At 50.4% G+C, this 27577-nt stretch overlaps 1 protein-coding gene across 4 annotated transcripts, besides 2 other annotated features; it reads right to left on the bottom strand.

Annotated features, from left to right (window-relative positions):
- Positions 200-23597, bottom strand: ERBB3 (erb-b2 receptor tyrosine kinase 3). Of its 4 annotated transcripts, none has more exons than NM_001982.4 (28): positions 23323-23540; positions 19803-19954; positions 18524-18710; positions 17049-17174; positions 16063-16128; positions 15792-15910; positions 15543-15684; positions 15049-15162; positions 14837-14957; positions 10885-10958; positions 10629-10719; positions 10155-10360; positions 9809-9941; positions 9516-9606; positions 9149-9303; positions 8395-8448; positions 7899-8040; positions 7083-7202; positions 6859-6957; positions 6475-6660; positions 5765-5920; positions 5130-5205; positions 4800-4946; positions 3960-4057; positions 3676-3867; positions 3460-3531; positions 2344-2644; positions 200-2176 (listed from the first exon to the last, which is right to left on the bottom strand). In NM_001982.4, exons 1-28 carry the CDS (start codon positions 23402-23404, stop codon positions 1650-1652), a joined length of 4029 nt encoding a protein of 1342 aa, NP_001973.2. In that variant the 5' UTR covers positions 23405-23540; the 3' UTR covers positions 200-1649. The 4 variants fall into 4 exon arrangements, with proteins under 4 accessions (NP_001973.2, XP_047284456.1, XP_047284457.1 ...); XM_047428500.1 differs by lacking the exon at positions 23323-23540 and adding an exon at positions 22805-22873; XM_047428501.1 differs by lacking the exon at positions 23323-23540 and adding an exon at positions 20157-20391.
- Positions 22893-23883: an enhancer, noted in NCBI's record as "H3K27ac hESC enhancer chr12:56473606-56474596 (GRCh37/hg19 assembly coordinates)". NCBI's record gives its function as "activates a minimal SCP1, AML or CMV promoter by ChIP-STARR-seq in primed H9 embryonic stem cells {active_cell/tissue: H9 hESC(primed)}" and the evidence as "EXISTENCE:reporter gene assay evidence [ECO:0000049][PMID:30033119]".
- Positions 25708-25757: an enhancer, noted in NCBI's record as "active region_6468". NCBI's record gives its function as "activates an Ori minimal core promoter by ATAC-STARR-seq in GM12878 lymphoblastoid cells {active_cell/tissue: GM12878}" and the evidence as "EXISTENCE:reporter gene assay evidence [ECO:0000049][PMID:35858748]".

The following is a 27577-nucleotide window of genomic DNA, read 5'->3' as shown; positions in this document are numbered from 1 at the left end:
TTGTAGATTCCTACTAAAACCCTTAATGAAAAGGACTATGCGCTATGGTTGTTCTAAAGAAATAGAAGTAATAGTAGGACTAGAGAAAGCTGCATGGGACAGAGTAGCACTGTCAGAACACAGAAAGGTGAGTATCCACTGCTGAGGAGCAGATCTCTTATCTAACATACGAAATGTCTTCATTTGACAGACAGGAAGCTGAAAAAAAACTTTGGCATTTTTATTCAGACACGTATAAAAACAAAACAAAAAACTTCAGTGATACAACAGACGTTTTCCCTTAGTTCCCCATCCAAGGGGACAGAGGTGTGCAGCTGAAGCTGGATCTTTTTTCTGTCCTACCTGGAAGCTTCTCACTGCTGGATGAGAATGGCTTCTAAAAGTGGATCTTGGGGATCCTTGTGAATTTGCCCTCGGATAAGGAGTGAAGATCATTTACGGCACATGTGGATTATGGTTTACACAAAGATGTCCAGTTATTTTTCCTTCTGACTACCCCCACCACCACTTCCTGAGATGAGATGTCTAGGTATAGGAGGATGTGGCTGTTGGGGTTAGACTTGATTCAGTGCAAAAACAAGAAACAGTGCCCCTTAAACAAGGGCTGTAACTTAAATCAGTTTTTCTTGGCACCTTACAATAAGAGCACATGCACAGGAATTGGGAGGATTTTGCATCCTGGATCTACTGCTTAATTTATTTCATCTCTTTAAGGCTCAGTTTCTTTTTTTTTTTTCCCCTGTAGAGACAGTGTCTTGCTATGTTTCCATAGGCTTATCTCTAATTCTGGGCTCAAGTGATCTTCCCATCTCAGCCTCCCAAAGTGCTGGCTGGGATTACAGGCATGAGCCACTGCACCCAGTTCTAAAGTTTTTTTTTTTTTTTTTTTTTTTTTTTTAAAGAGATGGGGGTCTTACTATGTTGGCTAAGCTGGTCTCAAACTCCTTGCCTCAGGTAATCCTTCTGCCTCAGCCTCCCAAAGTGCTGAGATTACAGGCATGAGCCACCATGCCCGACTTCCCTTTGTGTAAAATGAGATAATATGTATGTCACAGAATTGTTTTAAGGATGATAAAGGACTAAGTGAGATAATGTAGGTGAAGTTTAGTATGATGCCTGGCTCATAGTTAAGTGCTGAATTATGATAGTAATCAATATCTACTCCTAACCTCTTTCTTCACAGATTTTAAGCTTCTGTCTTTCTAGGGGGTTAAGAGTCATAAACCAAAATTACACTTTCCTCTGCTAGGTTTCCTCCCTTTCCTCTTCTTGACAGTCTGATGGGAAACAAAGGCACACATAAGAGCCTAGTTCCAAGTAGTCAAGAGCCTGAGAGGAAGGGATATGGAGAGTAATCCTTCATATCTCCAGGAGTGCCTGTGAAGAAGCTGAGGAATGGGACTGGGAAAGCACACAAAATAAGGAAAACCTTTCCTGGGGTTGGGAAAGAGAAGAAAGTGCACAGCTGGCTACATACCATAAGAATTTTGTGTCAAAATGTTTAAAAGCCTCCAAAGATTGAATGGAATTGTCTGGGACTGGGGAAAAGGGGCTGGGACCTGGGAGAGAGAGGGAATAGGGAGAAGACGGTACCCTCTAAAGGCACTAGCTGCCATTAAATGCTCCCTGAGTGCCACAGGGAGCAGGAGTTACGTTCTCTGGGCATTAGCCTTGGGGAAAAGCCTGCTATGCCAGTAATCAGGGTTATCAAAGGCAGAGTCTGTAGCCTCTAAGCTACGTAGAGTTTTTAGGCGGGCATAATGGACATGGGGGGCCTGATGTCCAGGCCCCTGAAAAGCTCTCATCTCTTCATACCCTTGCTCAGATGCTGGGCAGGCCCCCATGGCTGCATAATCACCCCCAGGACCACCTCCATCTCGTTGCCGATTCATATATTCATAGTCTTCATCTGGAGTTGTGCCTGCAGTGGGCATGATGGGTACAGGGTGGAGTGGGCAACTCTGTGTGCTGCCCAGAGAGGCACTGAGGTCTGACCCCACATCCATGTACTCATAACCCAGCTCCTCAAGGGAACTTGGCCTAGGGGGATGAGGTGGACTGTGCCTTCTCCTCCGGTTCATGTATTCATACTCCTCATCTTCATCTTCTTCTTCAGTACCCAGGACAGAACTGAGACCCACTGAAGAAAGGGTGCCTTCCCGGGAGGAGGGAGTACCTGGGGGTTGAGAAGAAAGGCTAGGTATGTGAAGAACTTCATGAGGGTAGGGGAAAGTTTGAAAAAATTAATAGGACAGAGAGGCATATGATCAGAGAAGAAAAAAGAGGAGCCCGGGGAAAGAATTCGAGGAAAAATTGAGGAAAGCCCTAGGAAGAGTCAGGCACCTTTGAGGTGTGTATCTGGCATGACATAACCGTTGACATCCTCTTCCTCTAACCCGGGTGGGGAGAGTGGGGTAACAGGAGTCAGCAGACTGTGGCGCTGGGAATGGTAGGCGCTATCTCCGCGTGGCCGTGGGCTCCGGCTCCTGCTCCGGCTCCTACACATTGACACTTTCTCCTGGAGCTCAGCCTCAGAGCCTGTTACATGCCCCTCTGATGACTCTGATGCCAGGCATCCCCGTGGCATTGGGTGTAGAGAGACTGGACGGGGGCACCGTTCACTGCTCCCAGAAACTGCAGACTCCTAAGGAAGAAAATAAACAGAAAATAATGCAAGGAAATTTACATGATGAGGAAAGAAGAGAGATTTGTTTAGAAGGATATTGGGTTGTTCACTGCCTTTTTTTTTTTTTTTTTTTTTTTTTGAGGTGGAGTCTTGTTCTTGTCGCCCAGGCTGGAGTGCAGTGGCATTATCTTGGCTCACTGCAGCCTCTGCTTCCCTGTTCAAGTGATTCTCCTGCCTCAGCCTCCCGAGTAGCTGGGATTACAGGCACCTGCCATCATGTGCAGCTAGTTTTTGTATTTTTAGTACAGACAGGGTTTTGCCATGTTGGTCAGGCTGGTCTCGAACTCCTGACCTCATGATCCGCCCACCTCGGCCTCCCAAAGTGCTAGGATTACAGGCGTGAGCCACCGCACCTGGCCTTTTTTTTTTTTTTTTAAGAGACAGGGTCTTGCTCTGTCACCCAGGCTGGAGTGCAGTGGTACAATCTCAGCTCACTGCAACCTCTGCCTCCCGGGTTCAAGCGATTCTCCTGTCTCAGCCTCCTGAGTAGCTGTGATTACAGGTGTGCACCACCACACCCAGCTAATTTTTGTATTTTGGGTAGAGACGGGGTTTCACCATGTTGGCCAGGCTGGTCTCAAACTCCTAACCTCAGGTGATCCACTCTCTCTGGCCTCCCAAAGTGCTGGGATTACAGGTGTGAGCCAACTCGCCCGGCCCTCACTGCCTTCTTTTTTGCAGGACACTGATTAAACCTCAGAGGTTTCTAATGTCTTCCATACTACTCGTATCAATCTGATCCTAAAACCCAGCCTCTCAGCAACAGAACTTACCTGGCAAGACTCCCCAAGATTACCCTGGTTCATGGGCATGTATCCAGATGATGGACTTAAAAGGCTCTGGCTCTAGGATGAAAAAATAAGGAAAAGGTTAAGATGAAGGGAGAAATCTACATTCACCATGGGGGCCTTTGAGTAGTTAATCTGGGTATCTGTAGGGTTTGTGAGGGCTCAGGGTGCAAAGTGTTGGGTAATTAGAAGTTGTCTTACCCCACGTGGCCGATTAAGTGTTCCAACTGGTAGGCTGAGGGCGGAGCCCAGTGTGGTGGTTGCCAGGTTGTCCTCCTCTGCTTCCAAGTCTAGGTCTAGGTCTAGTTCTGGCTCCAGCTCTACTTCCTCTAGCTTCTTGTTTGTCAGACCATGGGGCTCTGGCCCAGGGGCTATTCCAGGCCCACTCTCTCTCTATATCGATAGGTGATTGTTAGGGGGAATCCTGGTTCCAGCCAACTCCTCCTTTTTCTAAATTTCCTTAGCACCTCCTACTCCCTACTCACCTTTATGACCAGATACCGTGGTGGGTCTCGGGCCATCCTGGTGAACTCATTGGCTAGTTCTTTAAAGGTTGGGCGAATGTTCTCATCAATCATCCAACCTGGAGATAAGATGTAGGAGGTAGAGACATAAAAGAGAATACATTCCATGGCCGGGCGCGGTGGCTCACACCTATAATCCCAGCACTTTGGGAGGCCAAGGCGGGTGGATCACCTGAGGTCGGGACTTTGAGACCAGCCTGGCCAACATAGTGAAACCCCATCTCTACTAAAAAGACAAAAAAAAATTAGCTGGGCGTGGTGGTGCACGCCTAAAGTCCCAGCTATCTGGGAGGCTGAGACAGAAGAACTTAAACCTGGAACGTGGAGGTCACGGTGAGCCAAGGTCACGCTACTGCACTCCAGTATGGGCAACAGAGCGAGACTCCATAAAAAAAAAAGGAATAGAGCCATAAGAGGAGTACAGAGGGAAGTCAGAAAATGGCTGCAGTCAGGCCGAGCATGATGGCTCACACCTGTAATCCCAGCACTTTGGGAAGCTGAGGCAGGCGGATCACCTGAGGTCAGGAGTTTGAGACCAGCCTGGCCAACATGGTGAAACCCCATCTCTACTAAAAGTGTAACAGTTATCCAGGTGTGGCGGGCGCCTGTAATCCCAGCTACTCCGGAGGCTGAAGCAGGAGAATCTCTTGAACCCGAGAGGCGGAGGTTGTAGTGAGCCAAGATTGATTGCACCATTGCACTCCAGCCTGGGTGACAATTGTGAGACTCTGTCTCAAAAAAAAAAAAAAAAGAAAAAAAAAGAAAAAAAGAGAAAATGGTTGGGCTCAGCAGGTAACTCACACTTGACCATCACCATGTAGACATCAATTGTGCAGATCTGGGGCTGTGCCAACCGCTCCCCCTTCTCTAGCAGGTCTGGTACTTCAGCCAATCGTAGCCCTGCATAGGGCTCTGCCCCGAAGGTCATCAACTCCCAAACTGTCACACCTGTTGCAGGAAGACATGGACTAGTCACTGGCAAAATAGTAGACATGGGCATGAAGTGAAGGGAAGGCAGAACCTGATCTAACACAAAAATCTGAAGTGCTTAGAGATTCTAAGAGGGGGTCTCAAAAGGTAAATTTGAAACTGGGGCCAGTGATGGTAGAGAGGGCATCCAGATGCACTGACCATAGCTCCAGACATCACTCTGGTGTGTGTATTTCCCAAAGTGGATACTCTCAAGGGCCATCCACTTAATTGGAGTCTGCGGATTAAAGATAGAGGTATCACAAGTTTATTTCCACAAATTTTCTTAGGATTTCCAAGTCCCAAATTCTTTTTTTTTTTTTTTTGAGACGGAGTCTCGCTCTGTCGCCCAGACTGGAGTGCAGTGGTGCGATCTCGGCCCACTGCAAGCTCCGCCTCCTGGGTTCACGCCATTCTCCTGCCTCAGCCTCCCGAGTAGCTGGGAGTACAGATGCATGCCGCCACGCCTGGCTAATTTTTTTTTTTTTTGTATATTTAGTAGAGACGGGGTTTCACCGTGCTAGCCAGGATGGTCTTGATCTCCTGACCTTGTGATCCACCCGCCTTGGCCTCCCGAAGTGTTGGGATTACAGGCGTGAGCCACCGCGCCCGGCCAGTCCCAAGTTCTTGATCATTATTTTATTTGTTGCCCTCTGAACTAAAATATCTGGCATCTGCAGCCTTCTCTCCTTGAACTTACCATGAAGCATCTGCTTGCCTCTGGAAGAGACCACTGGCTGCTCCCTATCCCCATGCTTCACTCCACCCCCGCCTCCTTACCCTTTGTGTCTCCTCACCTTGGCCTCACTGTATAGCAGCTGCTTATCATCAGGAGGCAGCAGGTCAGCCACACCAAAATCTGCCACCTGAACCTGACTGGGTGACTTGAGTAGCACGTTTCGGGCAGCCAGGTTTCTATGCACCATACCATGTTCCTCAAGGTAGTACATTCCCTGTAGGTATAGGGGAAGAAAGTATTCTTAAGGTTGGGGGAATCAGTCACTGAGATCTGGAATTCCCCCAAATCTTGAAGGTACCTCTCAGCAGTGGTCCCCAACCTTTTTTGGCACCAGGGACTGGTTTTGTGGAAGACAGTTTTTCCAGGGGAAGGGGAGGGTTGGTTTTGGGATGAAATTTTTCCACCTCAGATCATCAGGCATTAGTTAGATTCTCATAAGGAGTGCACAACCTAGATCCTTCACATGCACAGTTCACAATAGAAGTCAAGCTCCTAAGAGAATCTAATGCTGCCCCTGATCTGACAGGAGGCGGAACTCGGGCGGTAATGCAAGTGATGGGGACTGACTGTAAATACAGATGAAGCTTCACTCGCTTGCCTGCCGCTCACATGCTCTGTGGCCTGGTTCCTAACAGGCCATGGACTGGTACCAGTCTGCAGCCCGGGGGTTGGGGACCTCACCTCTCAGAACTTCAACCTTCTCACTTTTTCCTGGCTGGCCCCCAGACAAGCAGTTCTTATCACAGAATTCCTCCAGGCTTCTCTCACCTTGGCAATTTGTACTCCCCAGTTGAGCAGCAGCTGTGGCCCCAGTGCCCCCCGGTGTTGTCTCACATGATCCAGCAGAGAACCCAGAGGCAAATATTGAGTGACAAGCTGCAGAGATGACCCTGGGCATAGTCCCAGCAGCCTTACAATGTGGGCATGGTCCAGGCTGCCAATGGCCAGCATATGCTAAGAGACACAAAAGGTATTATCTAGGAAACCAACAGGTTCACATACACTCAGCATGTGCACAGCCAGCCCAGGCCCCCCCACCCCCAACATTCTGGCTAACATAGTAGCTGCTGAGAAGCACAGGACCCTGCTTCTACATGATTGTATCTAATATTGTCCTCTCTCCTAGCGGCATACAGAATTTCCTTCACTTACATCTGTCACAGCTTGAAAACTCTGCCGTCCACTCTTGTCCTCAATGACTTTAATGCAGACTGGAATCTTGATTGATTCACCCTCAGGGATCCACACTCCCTGGGAAGTTTGGGGCAGGAGTTGGCATAAGGTCATTCTCCCTAGGTCAATCCTATGCAAAAATCTTTCACCCCTTTGCCCTAGATGCCTTCCCCACCTCTCCAGAATTCCTATGGGTCACTCACTTTGTGCACAGTTCCAAAGACACCCGAGCCAAGCACTTTAAGCTTCCTTAGCTCTGTCTCTTTGAAGATTCTGGCCAAGACTTTGTTAGCCTTCTCACTGGGGTCCAGAGGCTCTATGCTCTGAGGAGCAAATGGGAAGGAGTTACTCAGGAAAGGCCATTCCCATGTCCCACTCCAACCCGCTCCTCATAGGTGAATGCCAAAAGCAGCACAGCTGAAAGGGCAGGAAGAGGAAGCACCGTTAGTCCTGGAATGGATTATAGGCATATTGAGGTACAGACCCTGAGAACTGAGGAAGTTATTTGTGCTCATGAGATCAGGAATCAAAGGGGTTGGGTTTTCCCTTTGATGGAGGAGCACAAAGTGGGGAAGGGGACAGCTAGGGAGAGTTGGTAGTACTATTACCACCTTGAGTACCTTTTATACAGTGCTCTGTGCTTTCCAAAGCACTTTCACATACATCATCCCCCTTTACCCTTACAGCCATCCTGGAAGGACAAATGTTATTTCCTCTGTATAGATGCATAAACCGAGGCACAGAGAAGATAAGTAACTTCTTCAAAGTCATGTGGCAAATTAATGGCAAAATCAGGACTAGAATGCATGCCTCCCATTTCTCTGACCAGTGTTCTTCTAGGGGACCACACTACTTCCTTGAAGAAAGGGATCAAATCTCTGGGGAAAGAGGAGGGGAGTGACATTTATCCCATCACTGACCCCTGGGTGCACAGGGTACCACTCAAAATTAAGCTATAAAGAGACTTCCAGGACATGCAAAAAAAGAAAAGAAAAAACAAAAGTAAGCTAAGTACTCACCTCACCCCGTTCCAAGTATCGCCTCATAGCCCTTTTATTCTGAATCCGGCGCCCACGCCAGTAGAGAAAAGTGCCGCCCAGCATCATGAAAATCACTACCAATCCTGCTATCACTGTCAAAGCCATTGTCAGATGGGTTTTGCTATGGGATATATAGAAACCCAACATTATCCTGGGTTTGCATCTTCCTTACAAATGTCAACTATACTTGTGTTGAAGGTATGATGCTGACCTGGGGCAAGAAATTAACATTCACATATATATCCTTAAGCACTGAAGGGACCAACCTAAATCTGGACCAGTCTTAGACTACTGAAAGTTAATTTTAGGAAGGGAAGTCCAGAAGCCTGCATTCTTGAGTCCCAAGTGTCCAGTGATAGTGGACTGCATACATAAAAGGCCAGAATGAAGACAGCCTCCCTCTTCTCTCCAGGTAACCACCTCTCTCCCAACTCCCAAATATCCCCAGTTTCCAGAATCTCCAACCCCATCATACCCGATCAGCACCAGTGTTTGTCCTAAACAGTCTTGAAGCTCTGGTCCTTTACACCTAGGGAAGAAAGTCACCACCTTAAATGAGAGCTTGGACAGCAGAGGCTCAATTTCAACAGCCTAACATATAAAAGCTTGTTTCAGAACTTACCGTGGCATCCCATCCTGGAGCCCAGAGCTGATCCCAAGACATGGCCTCCACCTCCAGCTCACTAGCTCTCCCCAAGCCCCTCTTCTGTGAAACTCCCTTGAACTGAGGTTATTCCAGGTTCCCAAAACTGTGGTGTAATTTTGTGCTGTTACTGATTTTCCCTTTCTCCAATCCTTCGCTACACAGCTGGGAGTGATTCTTTTTTTTTTTTTGAGACAGAGTTTCACTCTTGTTGCCCAGGCTGGAGTACAATGATGCAATCTCAGCTCACCGCAACCTCTGCCTCCTGGGTTCAAGAAATTCTCCTGCCTCAGCCTCCCGCGTAGCTGGGATTACAGGCATGCGCCACCACGCCGGGCTAATTTTAAATTTTTGGTAGAGACAGGGTTTCTCCATATTGGTCAGGCTGGTCTCGAACTCCCGACCTCAGGTGATCCACCCACCTCGGCCTCCCACAGTGCTGGGATTACAGGTGTGAGCCACTGCGCCCGGCCAGCTGGGAGTGATTCTTGAATCACAGCCTCTCTCTTCTTTCTGCTTCCCTCACTCTAGTTCTGTGCTCCTACCCTTCCACCTGACCCCCTCTCCTTATTATCCCATCACTGACCCCTGGGTGCAGTTCTCATGGCAGGGCCGACATTCATTCTGAACATCTGGGTACTTGTAGATTGGGCCCTTGGCACCTAGGACTCCATGGGGGCAGCTGCTCACACAGTGGGGCCCATCTCGAAAATGGGCACATTGAGCACAAGTATCAGAGCCCTGAGTGGAAGAGAGAAGGTCAGGAAGAATCAGATCCCAAGGTCAATTCCATACCTCCCAGCAAAGACCAACCCAGACATTCAGGATCTTCTATCTGCAGGCCCTAGCATTATCTGGCCTCTCTGTGCTATCCTTAGCCATATCATTCCCCAGATGCTCCAAGTATTGCCCCTTCTCTGTCTCCCTTGGAGATCCTGGTGCTACTAGTATACCGAGCCATTGCATGTGGCAGTGCCCTCCATGGGTTGGCATTCCGGGTGGCAGGAGAAGCATTCGGCCTCATGGGCAAATTCTCGAGGCTCCCTGTAGTGGGGAATAAAGGGAGGGGGGGGTCACTTCCAAGTCCTGACCTTCATGCTCCGATCTCACAACCACAGGTCTCCTACCTCAATCCCACCAAGGCACATGCAGAAAGCTGTCTAAAGACTTTTATTGTATGCCACCTGAACAGTTCCATTGCAGGGCCCCACCCCCACCCATCCTTGACTGGCTCCCCTTACTGTACCCATTCAGAAAGTTGCAGTGGGTCACACAGACACCTCCTCGGCTATAATTTCGACAGGACAAGCACTGACCAGGGCCTGGGCCCCAGCATCCCCCAGAGGAGCACAGTGGGTCACACACTTTGCCCTCTGCCACTGGAAAGGAAGGGGTGGGTTAGGAGAGGAGTCTGAGGACTCCCAGCAAGCCCTCTCTTCATTATTCTTCCTCGTTACTGCTTCCAGCCTAACAGCCCCCTTCTCCTTGGTTCCATCCCTCAACCCTACTCCCACGTCTAGGGCAGAATAGTCCTTTCAGCCCTCTCCTCCCTGACTCCCTATTCTCACCACCTAGCAGACCCTTTCCCTCACCGCAGTCTCTGCGCGGCCGATTATGCTTGATGTCTAGTCGCTCTTCCGTAGGCCCCCGAAGCACCTTGGTCCAGTTCAAAGAGTGGTGGTAGCAGAGCTGCCTATTGGCACTTATATAGATACGCCCAGCACTAATTTCCTTCAGGGATCGGAAGCCCAGAGATGTGACATTCAAGTTCTTCATGATCAACAATGAGAAGCCCCGGCTGAGAATAAGGAGACAGGATGAGAGGAGAGACTACTAAGGGAACATTAACTATTCAAAGGATTCATGTTAGTCAAGAAATTTGCTCAGTGCTAGTCAGATCCACTGAGAGGGAATCCCCCTCCTTTTGCCTTTTCCTCGTGAAACTCTGAAACCCTTTGGTTTTGAGGCACTGCTGTATGAGACAGTGCCTTGTATTTTACTAAAGAATGCCTATGACACAGGCTTCATTGCCTGAAGATGCCATTTCCTCCATACCCTTTACTCACTTGTAGAGGCTTCTGCCTCCAATGGTTGTCAAATTGGAAAAAACACTGAAGTTGTGCATGTGGGGCGGCCAGGACTGGATGTTCAGGTAACCTGAGGGGTTGGAGAGAGGCATATGGGCAGGGAGCCTTCTTCTTTCTTGGGTTCTCCTGGCTCCTCCCCTATAACTTGGGACGTGATTTTCTCAAGTAGTTATACCGCAATTTATGCCAGTGGTTCACCTATTCTTCTAGAAAGGGCAAACTCTCTGCCACTCACCTGTGATCTCCCGTACTGTCCGGAAGACATTGAGCTTCTCTGGGTCCAGGGCAGGGATCTTGTGCCAGGGGTCTCTGAATAGAACAGTAGAAACCAGTCAATAAGGTAAAGGTATAACTCAATGGCAATGAGCACACCCAGCCTCAGCATTTGGTTTCTAAATATCATTCTCCACTAAAAGGAAACATTCCTTGGAGAAATGGCTGGGATGGGGGAAATATAATATAAGCCCAGAGCATCTTGTGCAAACAAGACAAGACTCAAAGAATTAAGGGTACAGCCCAAAGAACACAGGAGCCAACTTGGAGGGGCTGGCTAAAATAAATAATGATTGTAAAGGATTATAACCATTGACTAGAATAAAATAAGTATCCATAAGAGTAAATAGGAAAGGAAGACCTTTTTTTTTTTTTTTTTTTTTTTTTTTTTTTGAGACAGAGTCTTGCTCTATCGCCCAGGCTGGAGTACAGTGGCAGCAATCTCAGCTCACTGCAACCTCCACCTCCTGGGTTCAAGTGATTCTCCTGCCTCAGCTTCCTAAGTAGCTGGGAATACAGGAGCACACCACCATGCCTGGCTAATTTTTTGTATTTTTAGTAGAGACAGGGTTTCACCATGCTGGCCAGGCTGGTCTTGAACTCCTGACCTTGTGATCCGCCCGCCTCGGCCTCCCAAAGTGCTGGAATTACAGGCATGAGCCACTGCACCTGGCCTTTTTTTTTTTTTTTTTTTAAGAGACAGGGTCTCACTCTGTTGTGCAGAGTGAGTGCACTGGCTGGAGAGCAGTAGTGCCATCATAGCTCACTGTAACCTTGAACTCCTGGGCCCAAGCAATTTTCCCACTGGCTCCCAAAGGGCTGAGATTACAGGCATAAGCCACTGTGCTCAGCTGGAAAGACTCTTCCTAACAGTAGAATGCCAACAAACAAATGCAGAAGGAATAATGGAATTAGAAAATTATCATTTGGCAACTATCATAACAATAATTGATTCAGGCAATTATCCCAAGACATTCATTAATTGTGAATGGAAAAATAGTAACTTTACAGTAGAAAAACCTGACAGATATCACCTTAACTAAGTGACCAGAGACATCATTGTGAGTGCTGGGACAAATCAACATCACGTACATCCTCAATAGGATGCCCTGAGCTCACAGCCTCTGTGGTGTTCTTATCAAACTCCAGCCTGGCAGCGGCGCATGCCTATAATCCCAGCACTTTGGGAGGCTGAGACAGGAGGATCACTTGAGCTCATGAGTTCGAGACCATCCTGGACAACATGGTGCAACCCTGTCTCTATAGAGAATGGCTTGAACCTGAGAGGTGGAGGTTGCGTGAGCTGAGATCACGCCACTGCACTCCAGCCTGGGCAACAAGAGCGAGACTCCGTCTCAAAAAAAAAAAAAAATATATATATATATACACACACATATATAAATATATAAATAGTATATAATATTTATGTTTATATATATTTATATATATTATTTATATATATATATTTATATTTATATATATTATTTATATATATATATATATATATATATATATAAAATTAGCCAAGCATGGTGGCATGCACCTGTAATCCCAGCTACTCAGGGGGCTGAGGTGCTCGCTTGAGCACGGGAGGCAGAGGTTGCAGTGAGCTGAGATCATGCCACTGTATTCCAGCCTGGGCAATAGAGCCAGACCTTGTCTCAAAAAAAAACTACAAAAACTTGAATCTAATCATGAGGACACATCAAACTAATCCAAACTGAAGAACATGCTGCCCATTACCTAATCTATACTCATCAAGAATATCATGAAAGATAAACAAAACCTGAGGAGCTGTTATAAAGGAGATTGAAGTGCCACGATAACTGAATGTAATGTATGATCCCAAACCTTAGGAGGACAATTAGTGAAATCTGAATAAGGTCTGTAGCTTAGATAATATTTTGTGTTAATGTTAATTTTCCGATTCAAACAACTATGCTGTGGTTATGTAAGAAAATATTATTTTTAAGGAATATACGCTGAAATATAACAGGGGTAAGAAAGAACCATGTGTGAAAATTTACCCTCACGTGGTCCAGAAAAACAATAGCATGTGTTTTGTGTGTGTGTGTGTGTGTGTAGAGAGAGACAGAGAGAGAGAGAAGTGATAAAGCGTATGTGGTATTTTTTTTGGCGGGGGACAGAGTCTCGCTCTTTCACCAGGCTGGAGTGCAGTGCCGCGATCTCGGCTCACTGCAACCTCTGCCTGCCAGGTTCAAGCTATTCTCCTGCCTCAGCCTCCTGAGTAACTGGGACTACAGGCGCACACCACCACGCCCAGCTAATTTTTGTATTTTTAGTAGAGATGAGGTTTCACCATGTTGGCCAGGATGGTCTCAATCTCTTGACCTCGTGATCCACACCTAGTGATCCACCTGCCTCAGCCTCCCAAAGTGCTGGGATTATAGGCATGAGCCACTGTGCCCGGCCATATGTGGTATGTTAACATTTGGAGGATCTGGGTAAAAGAGTGTATGGGGGGCCAGACGCGGTGGCTCACACTTGTAATCCCAACACTTTGGGAAGCTGGGGCGGGTGGATCACTTGAGGTCAGGAGTTCGAGACCAGCCTGGCCTACATGGTGAAACCCTGTCTCTACTAAAAATACAAAAATTAGCCGGGCATGATGGCACACACCTATAATTCCAGCTACTCAGGAGACTGAGGCAGGAGAATTGCTTGAACCCGGGAGGCAGAGGAGGCGGAGGTTGCAGTGAGCCAAGATTGCACCACTGCACTCTAGCCTGGGGAACAGAGTGAGACTTTGTCTTAAAAAAAAAAAAAAAGTATATGGGGAATTTTATACCATTCTTGCAACTTTAGTGTAGATCTAAAATTATGTCAAAATAAAAAATTAAAGGAAAAAAAAAAACAGGTGGTCATAGTGGGTTTTTTTTACACACACACACACATTTTAAATGCTGTCCTATAGACTAGAAAGTCCCTTTGTTCTTTTTGCTCCAAGGAGCAGAATGAGTGAAAACAGCTAAAAGTCATGGGGAGACAGAATTTTCTTTTCTTTTCTTTTTTTTTTTTGAGAAAGAGTCTCGCTCTGTCGCCAGGCTGGAGTGCGGTGGTGTAATCTCGGTTCACTGCAATTTCCGCCTCCTGGGTTCAAGTGATTCTCGTGCCTCAGCCTCCTGAGTAGCTGGGATTACAGGCATGTGCACCACCACACCCAGCTAATTTTTGTGTTTTTAGTAGAGATGGCATTTCACCATGTTAGCCAGGATGGTCTCGATCTGACCTCGTAATCCGCCCACCTCGGCCTCCCAAAGTGCTGGGATTATAGGCATGAGCCACCGGGCCCAGCCTGGAGACAGATTTTTATCCAAATCTAAGGAAGAACTTTTACAAAACTTTAAGAAGGAGGTTGGGTGCTGTGATCCCTAGCACTTTGGGAGGCCAAGATGGGAGGATTGCTTGAGCACAGGAGTTCGAGATCAGCCTGGGCAACATAGCAAGACCCTGTCTCTACAAAAAAATACAAAAAAATTAGTCAAGTATGATGGTGTGTGCCTATAGTCCCAGCTACTTGGGATCACTTGAGCCCAGGAGGTCGAGGCTACAGTGAGTCGAGATCACGCCACTGCACTCCAGCCTAGGTGACAGAGCAAGACCCTATCTCAAAAAAGAAAAAAGAATAAAAAAGAAAACTTTAAGAAGGAGGATATGTTGTTCCTGTCCCTTGTTCCTTGGCAGGGCGATATTGAATTGCTCAAAGATGTTCCTGAGGGGACCGAAGGCCTGGATGGAGGATGTGTTAAGCATTCTTTCAGGTCCTTTGTAACAGGCTAGAATTTTATGACTTTGATTCCTAGTCAGCTCCACATAGGAAAGTTTTGGCCAATGAAATGAACTGTGAGGGGTGCGTGGGCTGGGGTCTAAGGAGGGAAGGCAGGATCTCTAACCCATTGAGGCCGGTGATCAGAAAGTCCAGGTTGCCCAGGATCTTGGTGCAGTTCACAAATCCATCAATGTTGCTCGAGTCCACAGTCTGGAAGCGGCTCCCAGAGCCTGTTCCCTCACAGGCTGCAAATGTAAGAGAGGTTCAGTGGGGGTGGTCTGCGCAGGCTCAGAGGAAAGGCTGTCTCTTTACAACTTCTTACCATCTCCTACCCACCTTTGGGACATAGTCCCCCACAAGGCTCACACATCTTGAGCCCATTTTTATCTACTTCCATCTTGTCAGGAGGACAGGCCCTGACACAGGATGTTTGATCCACCACAAAGTTATCTAGGGAAGAGGAGGAGGACACCATTAGAGATGAGGGAGGAACATCACCAGCTACCAATGGAACCCTTGCTCTGGGCCTAGGCTCCCTCCAGCTCTGCACTGGATTTGTCCCCATCTGCCACCCTAGATCCCTTAAGTGCTGCCCTATAGATTCAAAAGTCTCTTCACTATTTGTTGCTACAAGGAGCAGAAGTAAGGGTGATAGCTGAAGTCATGGGAGGACTGGACGTAAGGGTCACTCACTGGAGTGGTTAGATGATCATAACCATTCACCAATCTCCCTATTTATCACCAACTGGATTCTTTTTCCCTTCCACAATTTTGTCTAAAATCTTGGATCTACTATTGTTGATCATTGTTCCTTCCCCTCAGACACTTACGGGGACAGCTGGCTACACAAACTCCTCCATACTGATACTTGGTGTGGGGATTGGGTTCCAGCTGGAAAGTTAGCTTGTTGTAGACAAGAGGCTGTGGACAGCGAGGTACACAGGCTCCACTGTCATTGAAGTGCCGGCAGGCCTGGGAAAAAAGGAGGCTCATCAGATTTATGTTACGTGTGTACCCCTACCTCCTCCTCAAAGGCCACATCCCAATTTCAGAACCCAGGCAATGGAAAGGGTACATACAAAGCAGTCTGTGTCCTGAGGGCCTGAGCAGCCCCCGGCACACTCATCATGGCAGCACTGGTTGGGGTTGGGCCCAAAGCAGTGACCATTACACTGAGGAGCACAGATGGTCTTGGTCACTATGGAAGGAGAGAAAGCATGGCTGTTAGGGCTCCTAGGACTGAATTCTGAGGCCACTGCTCATGCCTCCCCCACAGTGTTGACCCAGGCTTGGGGAGGAAGGGATATGAAAGCGTATGAGTGAAGTTTTTGGAGGGAATTTCAAACCCACATGTCTGGCAGTCTTCTGATCCAGGACCCCAGCATCGCCCCTTGCAAACCTCATGACAGGGGGGACCTGGTTGGGAAGGAAGGCAACACAAGGGGCCATCAGGGCTAAGAAAGGCTTGTTTTAATCAACGGGGTATGATGTCAGTACACAGGCACCTCAATCCCGGGAAGCAAAAAGCCAGGGCTGTGTCCCTCCCTGCCCTTGGAGAGCAGGGCTGGGCTCAAGTGGACCTGTCAACAAGGGGCGCGGCCACGCCTCCACACCACCCACTGGGCAGCTGAAGGGGAGGGACTGGGGCAAATGCCAACCTTAGTCCTAGTCCCAACCCAGGAACTTAGTTCCTCCTGGGCAAACTGAATATATGCAGGAATATATGCATGTGAATGGTCAGGGGAAGGTGGGCTCCAAGGAAATGGGAGTATATTCTAGTGGAACGAGTAACAGATGTGGAGTCTAAAGATCTGGCTTCCCTGCTTAGTACTCAGGGATTTTTTTTTTTTTTTTTTGAGACAGGGTCTCACTCTGTTGCCCAGGCTAGAGTACAATGGCACAATCACAGCTCACTGCAGCTGCAGCCTCCTGGGCTCAAGCAATCCTCTGCCTCAGCCTCCTGAGTAGCCGGGATTACAGGTGCGAGCCACTACGCCTGTCTGATTTTTTTAATTTTTTGTAGATTTTTTGCTATGTTACTCAGGCTGGTCTTGGACTCCTGGGCTCAAGCGATCCTCCCACCTTGGCTTCCCAAAGTGCCAGGATTATAGGCATGAGCCACCATGCTCGGCCTGCTCCTTTTCTTGAAACACCTCCTCTGTGGTTTAGATTCCAGGAGACTGGAATGGTCTGCCCTGGTGGGCTGCTGAGTCAGGGACCTGAGGTGTTTGTTCACTGGGGAGGCGGGTTCAGATCAGGAATGTAAGGATGATGGAAAGAAGGGAGTCACTCTGGTTTGGTGGGACTGGGGAGCAATCTTGATCACGGCCACTTACAGCTTCTGCCATTGTCCTTCACCACTATCTCAGCATCTCGGTCCCTCACGATGTCCCTCCAGTCAATTGTGTCCATGTGACAAAGCTTATCGTTCTTCTCAATATAAACACCCCCTGACAGAATCTCTGAGGTAGGGAAAGAAGTGACAGGGTTAAGGGCCGCAGCGGAACGCCTCTTCCTTACCTCTCCACCCATCCAAAAGGACACCTGAGACTCAGGAGTGGGAGAATGAGGCAGACAGATAGGTCCAATTAAATCTAAGCTGCAGAGAAGACTCCCTTTATAAGATGAGGAGTCAGGCCAAAAGAAACTCCTGCCTCCTCAGTCACCTGTCCAGATCCGGTTTAGCTAGTGGGGGAGGGGAAGGGAGAGAGGGAGAGATTTCTGACTCAACATTCCCTCCCCCAAGCCCTGCCCATATGTTTTCCAACTGACTGGGACATGGAGAAGCAGAAGATGGACAGGTGGTTTTTAACCCCTATATTCCTCCAGCTCATAGGGGTTTGGTTTAGGAGAGTAAAGGTAGAATTCCTAGGGAAGGAGGGACATCCAGGTATACTGTACTTTGGTTTTTTTTTTTTTTTTTTTTTTTGGAGTCTCGCTCTGTCGCCCAGGCTGGAGTGCAGTGGTGCAATCTTGGCTCACTGCAAGCTCCGCCTCCCGGGTTCACGCCATTCTCCTGCCTCAGCCTCCCGAGTAGCTCGGACTACAGGCGCCCGCCACCACACCTGGCTAATTTTTTGTATTTTTAGTAGAGACGGGGTTTCACCGTGTTAGCCAGGATGGTCTCGATCTCCTGACCTTGTGATCCACCTGCCTTGGCCTCCCAAAGTGCTGGGATTACAGGCGTGAGCCACCGCGCCCAGGCTTTTTTTTTTTTTTTTTTTTTTTTTTGAGACGGAGTCTCACTGTCACTTACGCTAGAGTGCAGTGGTGCAATCTCAGCTCACTGCAACCTCCACCTCCCAGGTTCAAGCGAGTCTCCTGCCTCAGCCTCATGAACAGCTGGGATTACAGGTGCGCACCACTATAGCCAGCTAATTTTTTATTTTATTTTATTTTTTTGTATTTTTAGTAGAGACAGGGTTTCGCCATGTTGGCCAGGCTGGTCTCAAACTCCTGATCTCAAGTGATCTGCCCTCCTTGGCCTCCCAAAATGCTGGGATTACAGGTGTAAGCCATCAGGCCTGGCCTCCGGTACACTGTACTTTGAAATTAGAAAAACGGTTAACAGATCCAGCTCTGACTCCAGCCCCACAAGGACACAGGGTTCCTTTCCCTGGAGCAGATGCCCCTAGCTCCCCCTACTGGGGGCCCTCTATTGCTTAGGGAGCAATGGACCTTTAGACAGCGGCCAAGGTGACAGGCACCTTGGAAGAGGCACTTAGAGTGAGCAGTCTTGGGTCATCATCAAGGAGGTACCAGTCTTGGGCTGGCTGAGGGGTGAGGCCAGAAGGAACCATCGGGAACTGACCGGTGAGCTGAGTCAAGCGGAGCTGGCGCAGAGCGTGGCTGGAGTTGGTGTTATAGTTCAACATGACGAAGATGGCAAACTTCCCATCGTAGACCTGGGTCCCTCGCACCACGCGGAGGTTGGGCAATGGTAGAGTAGAGAATTCATTCATGGCCACGAGGACATAGCCTGTCACTTCTCGAATCCACTGTGACAGAGCAGATTATGTAAATGAGAGAGACAACAGGGCAAAATAATCTCAATCTCCTCTCCTCCTTCAGGCATTAAAGACTCTTTAACTGTTTTAATTCTTCCTTCTTTCTTTCCTTTCTTTTTTTCTTTTTTTTAAAATTTGAGACGGAGTTACGCTCTTGTTGCCCAGGCTGGAGTACAATAGTGCGATCTTGGCTCACCACAACCTCCACCTCCCGGGTTCAAGCAATTCTCCTGCCGCAGCCTCCCAAGTAGCTGGGATTACAGGCATGTGCCACTACACCTGGCTAATTTTGTATTTTTAGTAGAGATGTGGTTTTTCCATGTTGGTCAGGCTGGTCTCGAACTCCTGACCTCAGGTGATCCGAGCTTGGCCTTTTTTTTTTTTTTTGGTGAGACAGGGTCTCGCTCTGTTACGAGTGGCACAATCTCGCTCACTGCAGCGTCAAACTCCTGGGCTCAAGCAATCCTCCCACCTCAGCCCTCCAAGTAGCTGGGACTACAGGTGCATGCCACCATACCCAGCTAATTTTTGTATTTTTGTAGAGACAGCGTTTCACCACATTGCCCAGGCTGGTCTTGAACTCCTGACCTCAAGTGATCTGCCTTCCTTGGCCTCCCAAAGTGCTGGGATTACAGGCATGAGCCACTGCACCTGGCCTTAACTCTTGCTAATTCCTATTTGGGAGTAGGGAGTAGACTGTGTCACACTGCTGTGTCACTTCTGGGAGTGAAGACAGGCAGCTTTCTCCTCAAAGTGCCTCATACCAGTAGGGCCCCTTCCTCATCTCCCCAGGTAACCTCTTGGTCCTCAGGTTTCTCTCTGCACTAGTCCCTGCTGACCTTGCACTATCCACAGAACACCACCTGCCCCTGACCCTGCCCCCTATATATCCCTGGCTACAACAGTGAGACCATAGGTCCCAGATGACAGCCACTGTCCCCATAAATACACGGTTTTGAATCTTAGGAACTCCTGAGTCTTAGGAAGGGTGAACTCCAGCAGAAGGTAGCCCTGAAGAAGGAAGGAGGGTTCTAGGGGAGAATAAAGAGGAGCAGGTTGAGGAAGGAGGGTGGGCTCACTAACCTGCAGGAAGGAGAGGTCGGCATTGTGTCCCGTGAGCACAATCTCAAGGTTCCCCATCACCACCTCACACCTCTCGTAGAGCTTGTACAGTGTCTGGTATTGGTTCTCAGCATCGCCGGTCACACTCAGGCCATTCAGAGTCCCAGGACACACTGTTCAAAGCAGAGGGAAGAGTGGCTGAGGGCTGGACACAAATTCTCAGCCCATCTGCCATCCCCAAAGATCACCCCCTTGGTTGCCCTCTTCCAGTTACATTAGACAGGATCAGATGGCATTTGCCTCCAACCCTCCCACAAGCGATAGGCAGAAGCTGTAGTGGCCTGAGAGCTTTCTCTCTTCTCAGAATCCCCTTACCATTCCATGAATGGGAAGGTGAAAAGATTTCCTTTTTCAACCTGGGACCCCTCTGTGCTTCTTTTGGGTACTAAGGGGTTAACTGAGAAGGAAGACAGGGAATTTGTTTCTCTCCCTAGAAAAGAGAAGTTAGGAAAAGGCCGCAACTTTGATTACCCTCCTCTCCCCCTCCAACTAGGGCACTCACTTCTCTACCCTCATCCTGCCTCTCTCTAGGTCCTGGAATAAATATCTCTTTGGGACTAGTACACAGCCCCTATTGTGTCTACTGAGGGTGGGATGGGGGCAGAGGGTGGGGGCAGTGCCTGGGGCCACAGTCCAGCCCACAATGAGGCGATTCTATCCAGGAGGGGGGCTGCCCCACCCTGTCCCTAGACACCCCGTCCTCAGCAGCACTCCCCTCCACCCTCAAGCCTTGGGCTCAGACAAGTGACCTCAGTAGAGGGGGGAGCTCTGGCAGTGCTGGGGTGAGGGGGGGTCAATGGGAGCTTTGTCTTTAAAGCTGAAAGATAAGGAGCTAGTTGCCTCCCCGCCTTCCTAAACTCAGGGTTTCCTTCTCACTCTCTCCCCCATCCCAACACACTCTAGCAACCTCAGCATCACTTTCCAGCCCTAGAGTATTTTTCAGCAAATACAGAGGAACCTGGAGAGAGATAGTAGCAGATGCCCCATATTGAGCCTCCACACAATTTCATTGTTAGAAGAGGTTCATGAAAAAGCCTTTCACCATGGCAATCCTCACCCACACTAGGGGAGAGCCTAGACTAGAGGTACATGGCATGTCAGCCTTGGGAGTTCACTCTTCTTTGCAAATGTGGTGGACAACGGGCTATGGGAAGTCCTGGACTCTGAAGCCCTACCCCAGTCTCTTTCCTCTGGTTCAGGGAAAGACCATGTGTGGGGTGGGGAGTAGGGGGTAGATACCACCTGTTCCAGCCACCCTTCCCTGAGGCGGTGGTAGCTCAGTGGGAGGCAACAGTGGGAATGGAGGGAGGGAGACTGGTGAGGCCCCAATCCCTCCTATAACATACACCCCTAGTCTGACTTCTTGACCTTGGAGGGCTCCTTATCACTCCCCATGAAGGTTGGCTAGTCCCAGCAAAGAGAGCTAGTTCCAGAGGAGCTGGGAACTCCAGGGTCCTTGGGTTGAAATGAAAGAGACTAGGAAGGTTAGTCATTTCTGGAACAGCCCCACCCCAATCCCCTTCCTGGCAGGATACCCCCTTTCCCAAGTTATAGTGCCAACACTTCTCCCCAGATAAGGGAGGAGCCAAGCTTTCTGCACAGGGAAGTAGTAGTGTGGGCACACACATACACACACAATGTACACACGAACACGTACACATTGGTCCTGCTGGCTCAGGAATCTATAGTTGGGTTTCCTTGCAGGAAGTATTTCAGGTGGCCCCATCTATCCCACGTGCCCATAAGTGTTTGTGCAGACTTTGTGTCTGTGCTTGGAAGGCTACAGTGTTAGAGGTAGCCCAGTTCCCTGCTACCCTGAGGGTAAAGTCCATATTACACAAACAGGGGGCAAAGGGCCTGGGCAGGAAGGGAGCACAAACAACACCTCTGGGGAGGAGCTAGGCAGCTTGGGGAGCAGGGCAGGGGAAGGGAATCATAAAAATCCCTGCTGTACCCAGGAACCGGGAGCATAGGGAGGGGCAGTGTCACAGGCCCTCCTTTGGTAGAGAGCACTAGGGGTGGGATAGAGCCAGAATCTCCAGCCCCTCCTCAACCAGAGGCCTCCCCTCCAACATCCCCCACCCCCATCACAGCCAGGACAAAGGGGCTATAGAAGGACTGAGACAGGGCCGGATGCCCAGAGGCTGCAGGACCCAGATAAAGGGTAAAGAGACCCAACCATGCCTGCCTCCTGCCTCCCCAGGGAGGGTGGCCAGACTCTGGTACTCCTGGGTTTCTGGGTGAAGATTGCAGGAGTCTGGATGGGACAGTTATACAGTCACTCCACTGCTCCCTCCCACGCCAGTCCCCAGACCACCCCCCTCCACCAGCTGGGAGTGTTCACATCTAAAAATCCCAGGATCTAAATTTAGGCCCAGCAACTGTGAGGGAAGCACAGGTGGTTTCTTCCACTCCCACACTGGGGAAGGGGCCCTGGCTGTGCCAAACCCCAAGCTGAGATCTGAGGGGAGGGGAGGAGATCCACAGAACTTCAGTCCTCAGGTGTCCACGGTCCCAGAGACACCCCAAAGGGGTGGGCTCAGATAGCATGGGAGTCGGGGGAGGACTGGAGAAGAGCAATCCGGGGCTCTGTCTAGGGTCCTAGAGACAGTGTCAGACAATAAGCAAAATGGGGGCGGGAGGCACAAGCTGAGCCCAGGAAGGACTCCCCAAGGCAGGAGGCTTAGAAAGTAGCAGAGGTGCCCTCTTGATCCTCAGGTTGGGGAGAGAAAAGACCAGAGGCTGGACATCCTTGCCCTTACAGCTCCTGGCCCAGGGCCTTGTGTATAGTAGATGCTCAATAAATATGAGTTGTGTTGACCTGGGTCTTGACAAAGAGATGTTGCTTAAGCTCTGCTATACTGAGGAAAGGGGGCGCCAGCCTCTGTTGGGCCTCCTGCCTGATGTCACCTGAACTTGGCCCTCTGGTTAATCTCAGACCTCCCCAGGGCAGGCTCACTCACGGAAGAGGAGGTGCCGCTCCTGTTTTTCCAACACCAGAGAACAACAACCCCCTCCAACCTTCTGTAGCTCCGCCCTGTCGGCAAAACAACGAAACTAGGGGTAGCTGAAATCGGCGCGGGTGGGGGGCAGGGGGTTGGCGAGCAAACCGAGACCCTTCCCGCCAAGGCCCCCACCTCCAAGCACCTCCTGTTTACAGAATGAAGTTCCCTGCTCCCCTCCCTGCAGGGCCCCTCAGAAGTGTGAACTACTGTTTCGGCCTCAGCCTCTTCTGGGGAGACCAATTAGAGGGTCGGCGACGCTCTGGAGAAGGGTGGCGTGAGGGTCCCGGAATGCCGCCCTCGGCCGGACCACGCCGATAACCCGAGCCTGACCGCCCCTCTCCCAGGTGGTCCTGGCAAACCGGGGGCAGCACCCACAACCCCGCGCCGCCTGAGACCGTGCCCATACCCTCCGAGGCTGCGCGCACTGGGTTCCGGCTCCCAGGTGCCGAGCCCGCCGGTGCTCTCGCGCCACTTACCTGCCTGAGAGTTGCCCACCTCGGAGCCCCGGGCCAGGCTGAAAAGCAAGCCCAGCACCTGCAGAGCGTCGTTCGCCCTCATGACTCCGCAGAGGGTGAAGGGAGCCCAGCCAAGTCCGGCCCGGGGGCCCCTAGGCTAGGACATCGAGGCAAGAGCCACCTGAACCGCTGGCGAATTGGTGGCTGCTGCGGCGACGGCAGCGGAGGTTGCAAATTGCAATCGGAGCCGGAGCCGGAGTCCGGGGAGGGATGGCAGGGGAGGGGTGTGTGTGTGTGAGAGAGAGAGAGAGAGGGAGGGAGGAACGCAGAGGGAAGGGGGTGAGTCACGGCCGCGCCCCCTCCCGCGCGAGGCTGGAGTAGGGATTGCGGAGCCTCGGACCGCCTGCCCCGAGCGTGCCACGCCCCGCGGTCCCGCAACTTGGCGGAGCAGATCGAGGATGGGGCTCACCCTAATTTTTCTGCAGGAGATAGGCCAAGGGGAGGTCGAGATTCCGAAAGCCCCCAGATCCAGGGAAGGGTAATGAATGAGGGAGTGGAAAGCTCTCCAAAGCCCTGCCCCCTGAAAGTTGGCCTCGCCCATTAACCAAATCACTCAACTCCCCTAGCCGGTTGGTTCACTTGGTGGATTTTCTCTCAGAATGTGAATATTTCTCTCTGTGTGTTTTTGAGGGGGAGGGTGTTTTTTGCCTCACGTCCAGGCCACCTCAGTTTCTCCCAGACTCGAAACCCCATAATTCATCCACCCAGCCCAGGAACCCGAGCCACAGAGACCGCGTGAAATTGCACTGTCTCTGGCCGCTTCCTCCTCCAGACCCGGCGCCGGCCGGGCCTCTCCCGGGGATTTGGATGGGGGGCGGGGGTGGTTTCCAGCCTGGGAACAGACCCCGGAGCCCGCCTTTCCACTTCTACCCCGGGAGGGGCTCCCGCACCTGTCGCCGTCCCCTCTGCTGCCCCCCACGGCCGCCTGGGAGAACAGCTGCCTCCCCTTCCACACTGGAGTCTGGCCGCACCGTCCGGGCGGCCGCAGTTCCCGCCGCTCTTCTGGGGACCCAGATGGGCACACACCAAGGCGCTTACACCCTCCCAGGTGCCTTCCAAGTCCAGGCTCTCGCAGGAAAGGGGATGGGGCAGTGAAGTGGGACGCGGAGAGGACACTAGAGACTGCGTCCACGAATGGCGTGGACCTCTGGAACCTCCCCCACCAGCTGCCCGGACCTGGCCAGAGGCGGTCGGGCTCCCTGCGGGTTGCTGCCCAAAGCCCTGCTAGTCCCGGGACGGATCCGACCGGCGCCGCCTGGTGCCCATCCGTGGCAGTGGAGTCCCAGACGGCCTTGCATTTCAAATCCCTTAAACTGGTATTCGGGATCTCGCCCGGAGAGCCTAGTTGTTTTCTCCAGAACTTCAAGCCTGAAGACTTCGAAAACAGTTGAGCCTTGATAAAGAAAAATTTCACCCCTCACACCTAGCAAAGACTACCGGCTAACATTCCTTAAACATGCTCCCTATTGATATGCAACCTAGAGGGCCTGTTCTCTACTGGAGAATCTCCGCTTTGGGGAGGTTGGCTTTCTCCAGACCATGTGTATAGTAGTCATAATAATAATAGCAACAACAAAACCATTAACATATACAAACATTTCCATATATCATTTCATTTACAAAGTATGTCCTCAAACTTAGTGCCTTAGAGAATGTGTCACTTAACATAAAAATTATATGATTTAGGCAATATAACTCCCCATTTTACAGAACTAGAAGTGTGTGACCTCTCCAAGGTCATCCACCTGGTGACAGTGGTTGAGGTGATCAGGTGATTGGGAGGTGGGGCTCAGACTTTTACCTAGGGTTTCTTTCTCTCTTTTTTTTTCTTTTCTTTTTTTTTTTTTTTGAGACAGAGTTTCGCTCTTGTTGCCCAAGCTGGAATGATCCACCTGCTTCAGCCTGCCAAAGTGCTGGGATATCTTCCATCTTAAAAAACAAAACATTCGGCTGGGCGCGGTGGCTCATGCCTGTAATCCCAGCACTTTGGGAGGCCGAGGCGGGCAGATCACTTGAGGTCAGGAGTTCGAGACCAGCCTAGTCAACATAGTGAAACACCGTCTCTACTAAAAATACAAAAATTAGCTGGGCATGATGGTGGGCACCTGTAATCCCAGCTACTTAGGAGACTGAGGCAGGAGAATCGCTTGAACCCGGGAGGTGGAGGTTGCAGTGAGCTGAGATTGCATCACTGCACTCCAGCTTGGGCGACAGAGTGAGACGCCATCTCAAAACAAAAACAAAACATTGTTTTGTTTGACCTCATGGCCTTCTGGTCTGTTGCTTTTTTTTTTTTGACACGGAATCTTGTTCTGTTTCTGTCACCCAGGCTGGAGTGCAGTGGCCTGATCTCAGCTCACTACTGAGTTCAAGTGATTCTCCTGCCTCAGGCTTCCAAGTAGCTGGGGCTACAAGGCGTGCGCCACCAAGCCCGGCTAATTTTTTGTATTTTTAGTAGAGATGGGGTTTCACTGTGATGGCCAGACTAGTCTCTAATTCCTGACCTCAGGTGATCCACCCACCTCAGCCTCCCAAAGTGCTGGGATTACAGGTGTGAGCCACCACACCTGGCTTTTTTTCCTTTTTTTGAGACAGGATCTCCCTCTGTCACCCAGGCTGGAGTGCAGTGGTGCAATCATGGCTCACAGCAGCCTCAACTTCCCAGGCTCAGGTGATTCTCCCACTTCAGCCTCCCTAGTAACTGAGTCTACAGGTGGGCACCAAAATGTCTGGCTACTTTGTTTATTTGTTTGTTTGTTTTTGAGATGGAGTCTCGCTCTGTCACCCAGGCTGGAGTGCAATGGCGTGATCTCAGCTCACTGCAACCTCTGCCTCCTGGGTTCAAGGCATTCTCCTGAGTTTCGCTTTTGGTGCCCAGGCTGGAGTGCAATGGCTCGATCTTGGCTCACTGCAACCTCTGCCTCTTGGGTTCAAGCTATTCTCCTGCCTCAGCCTCCTGAGTAGTTGAGATTACAGGTGCCTGCCACAACACCTAGCTAATTTTTGTATTTTTAGTAGAGACGGGGTTTCACTGTGTTGACCAAGCTGGTCTTGAACTCCTGACCTTGGGCAATCCACCCACCTCGGCCTCCCAAAGTGCTGGGATTACAGGCATGAGCCACCACACCTGGCCTTACCATCTGGCCTTACCTAGGATTTCTTTATTATTTTTGTATGATATGGAGATGCGGGGGTGGGGGTGGGGGTCTGGCTATGTTGCCCAAGCTGGTCTTGAACTCCTGGCCTCTGCAATCCTTCCACCTCAGTTTACCCAAATTGTTAGGATTTCAGATGTGAACCATGCCTGGCCTTACTTAGGATTTCTTACTGTTCTACTGAGACTGGAGCTTCATGTGTTCAGATTCACACTCCCATCAGACAACAGTGCTGATACTACTTAAGGGTCTCCACTCCTACCTACCCTCCCCCACATTAAAGGGCCTTTCATTTTATTACTCACTCAGCTCCAGCTCAACCTGGTATTCAGGGTCCGAGTTCTGAAGGAGAAAAATCTTCCTTGGTTTCCTTGTTTATACACTGTTGTATCTACTTATAAGACTGTTGATTGGTCCCTCCCCCTCCCCCTCCCCCTCCCCCTCTCCCTCTCCCCACGGTCTCCCTCTCTTTCCACGGTCTCCCTCTCATGCGGAGCCGAAGCTGGACTGTACTGCTGCCATCTCGGCTCACTGCAACCTCCCTGCCTGATTCTCCTGCCTCAGCCTGCCGAGTGCCTGCGATTGCAGGCACGCGCCGCCACGCCTGACTGGTTTTGGTGGAGACGGGGTTTCGCTGTGTTGGCCGGGCCGGTCTCCAGCCCCTAACCGCGAGTGATCCGCCAGCCTCGGCCTCCCGAGGTGCCGGGATTGCAGACGGAGTCTCGTTCACTCAGTGCTCAATGGTGCCCAGGCTGGAGTGCAGTGGCGTGATCTCGGCTCACTACAACCTACACCTCCCAGCCGCCTGCCTTGGCCTCCCAAAGTGCTGAGATTGCAGCCTCTGCCCGGCCGCCACCCCGTCTGGGAAGTGAGGAGTGTCTCTGCCTGGCCGCCCATCGTCTGGGATGTGAGGAGCCCCTCTGCCTGGCTGCCCAGTCTGGAAAGTGAGGAGCGTCTCCGCCCTGCCGCCATCCCATCTAGGAAGTGAGGAGCGCCTCTTCCCGGCCGCCATCACATCTAGGAAGTGAGGAGCGTCTCTGCCCGGCCGCCCATTGTCTGAG

Source organism: Homo sapiens, chromosome 12 (assembly GCF_000001405.40).
Source record: "Homo sapiens chromosome 12, GRCh38.p14 Primary Assembly".
NCBI classification, from domain to species: domain Eukaryota; kingdom Metazoa; phylum Chordata; class Mammalia; order Primates; family Hominidae; genus Homo; species Homo sapiens.
Note: the sequence above shows the minus strand (reverse complement) of the source record. Positions and strands in the feature narration are given on the sequence as shown.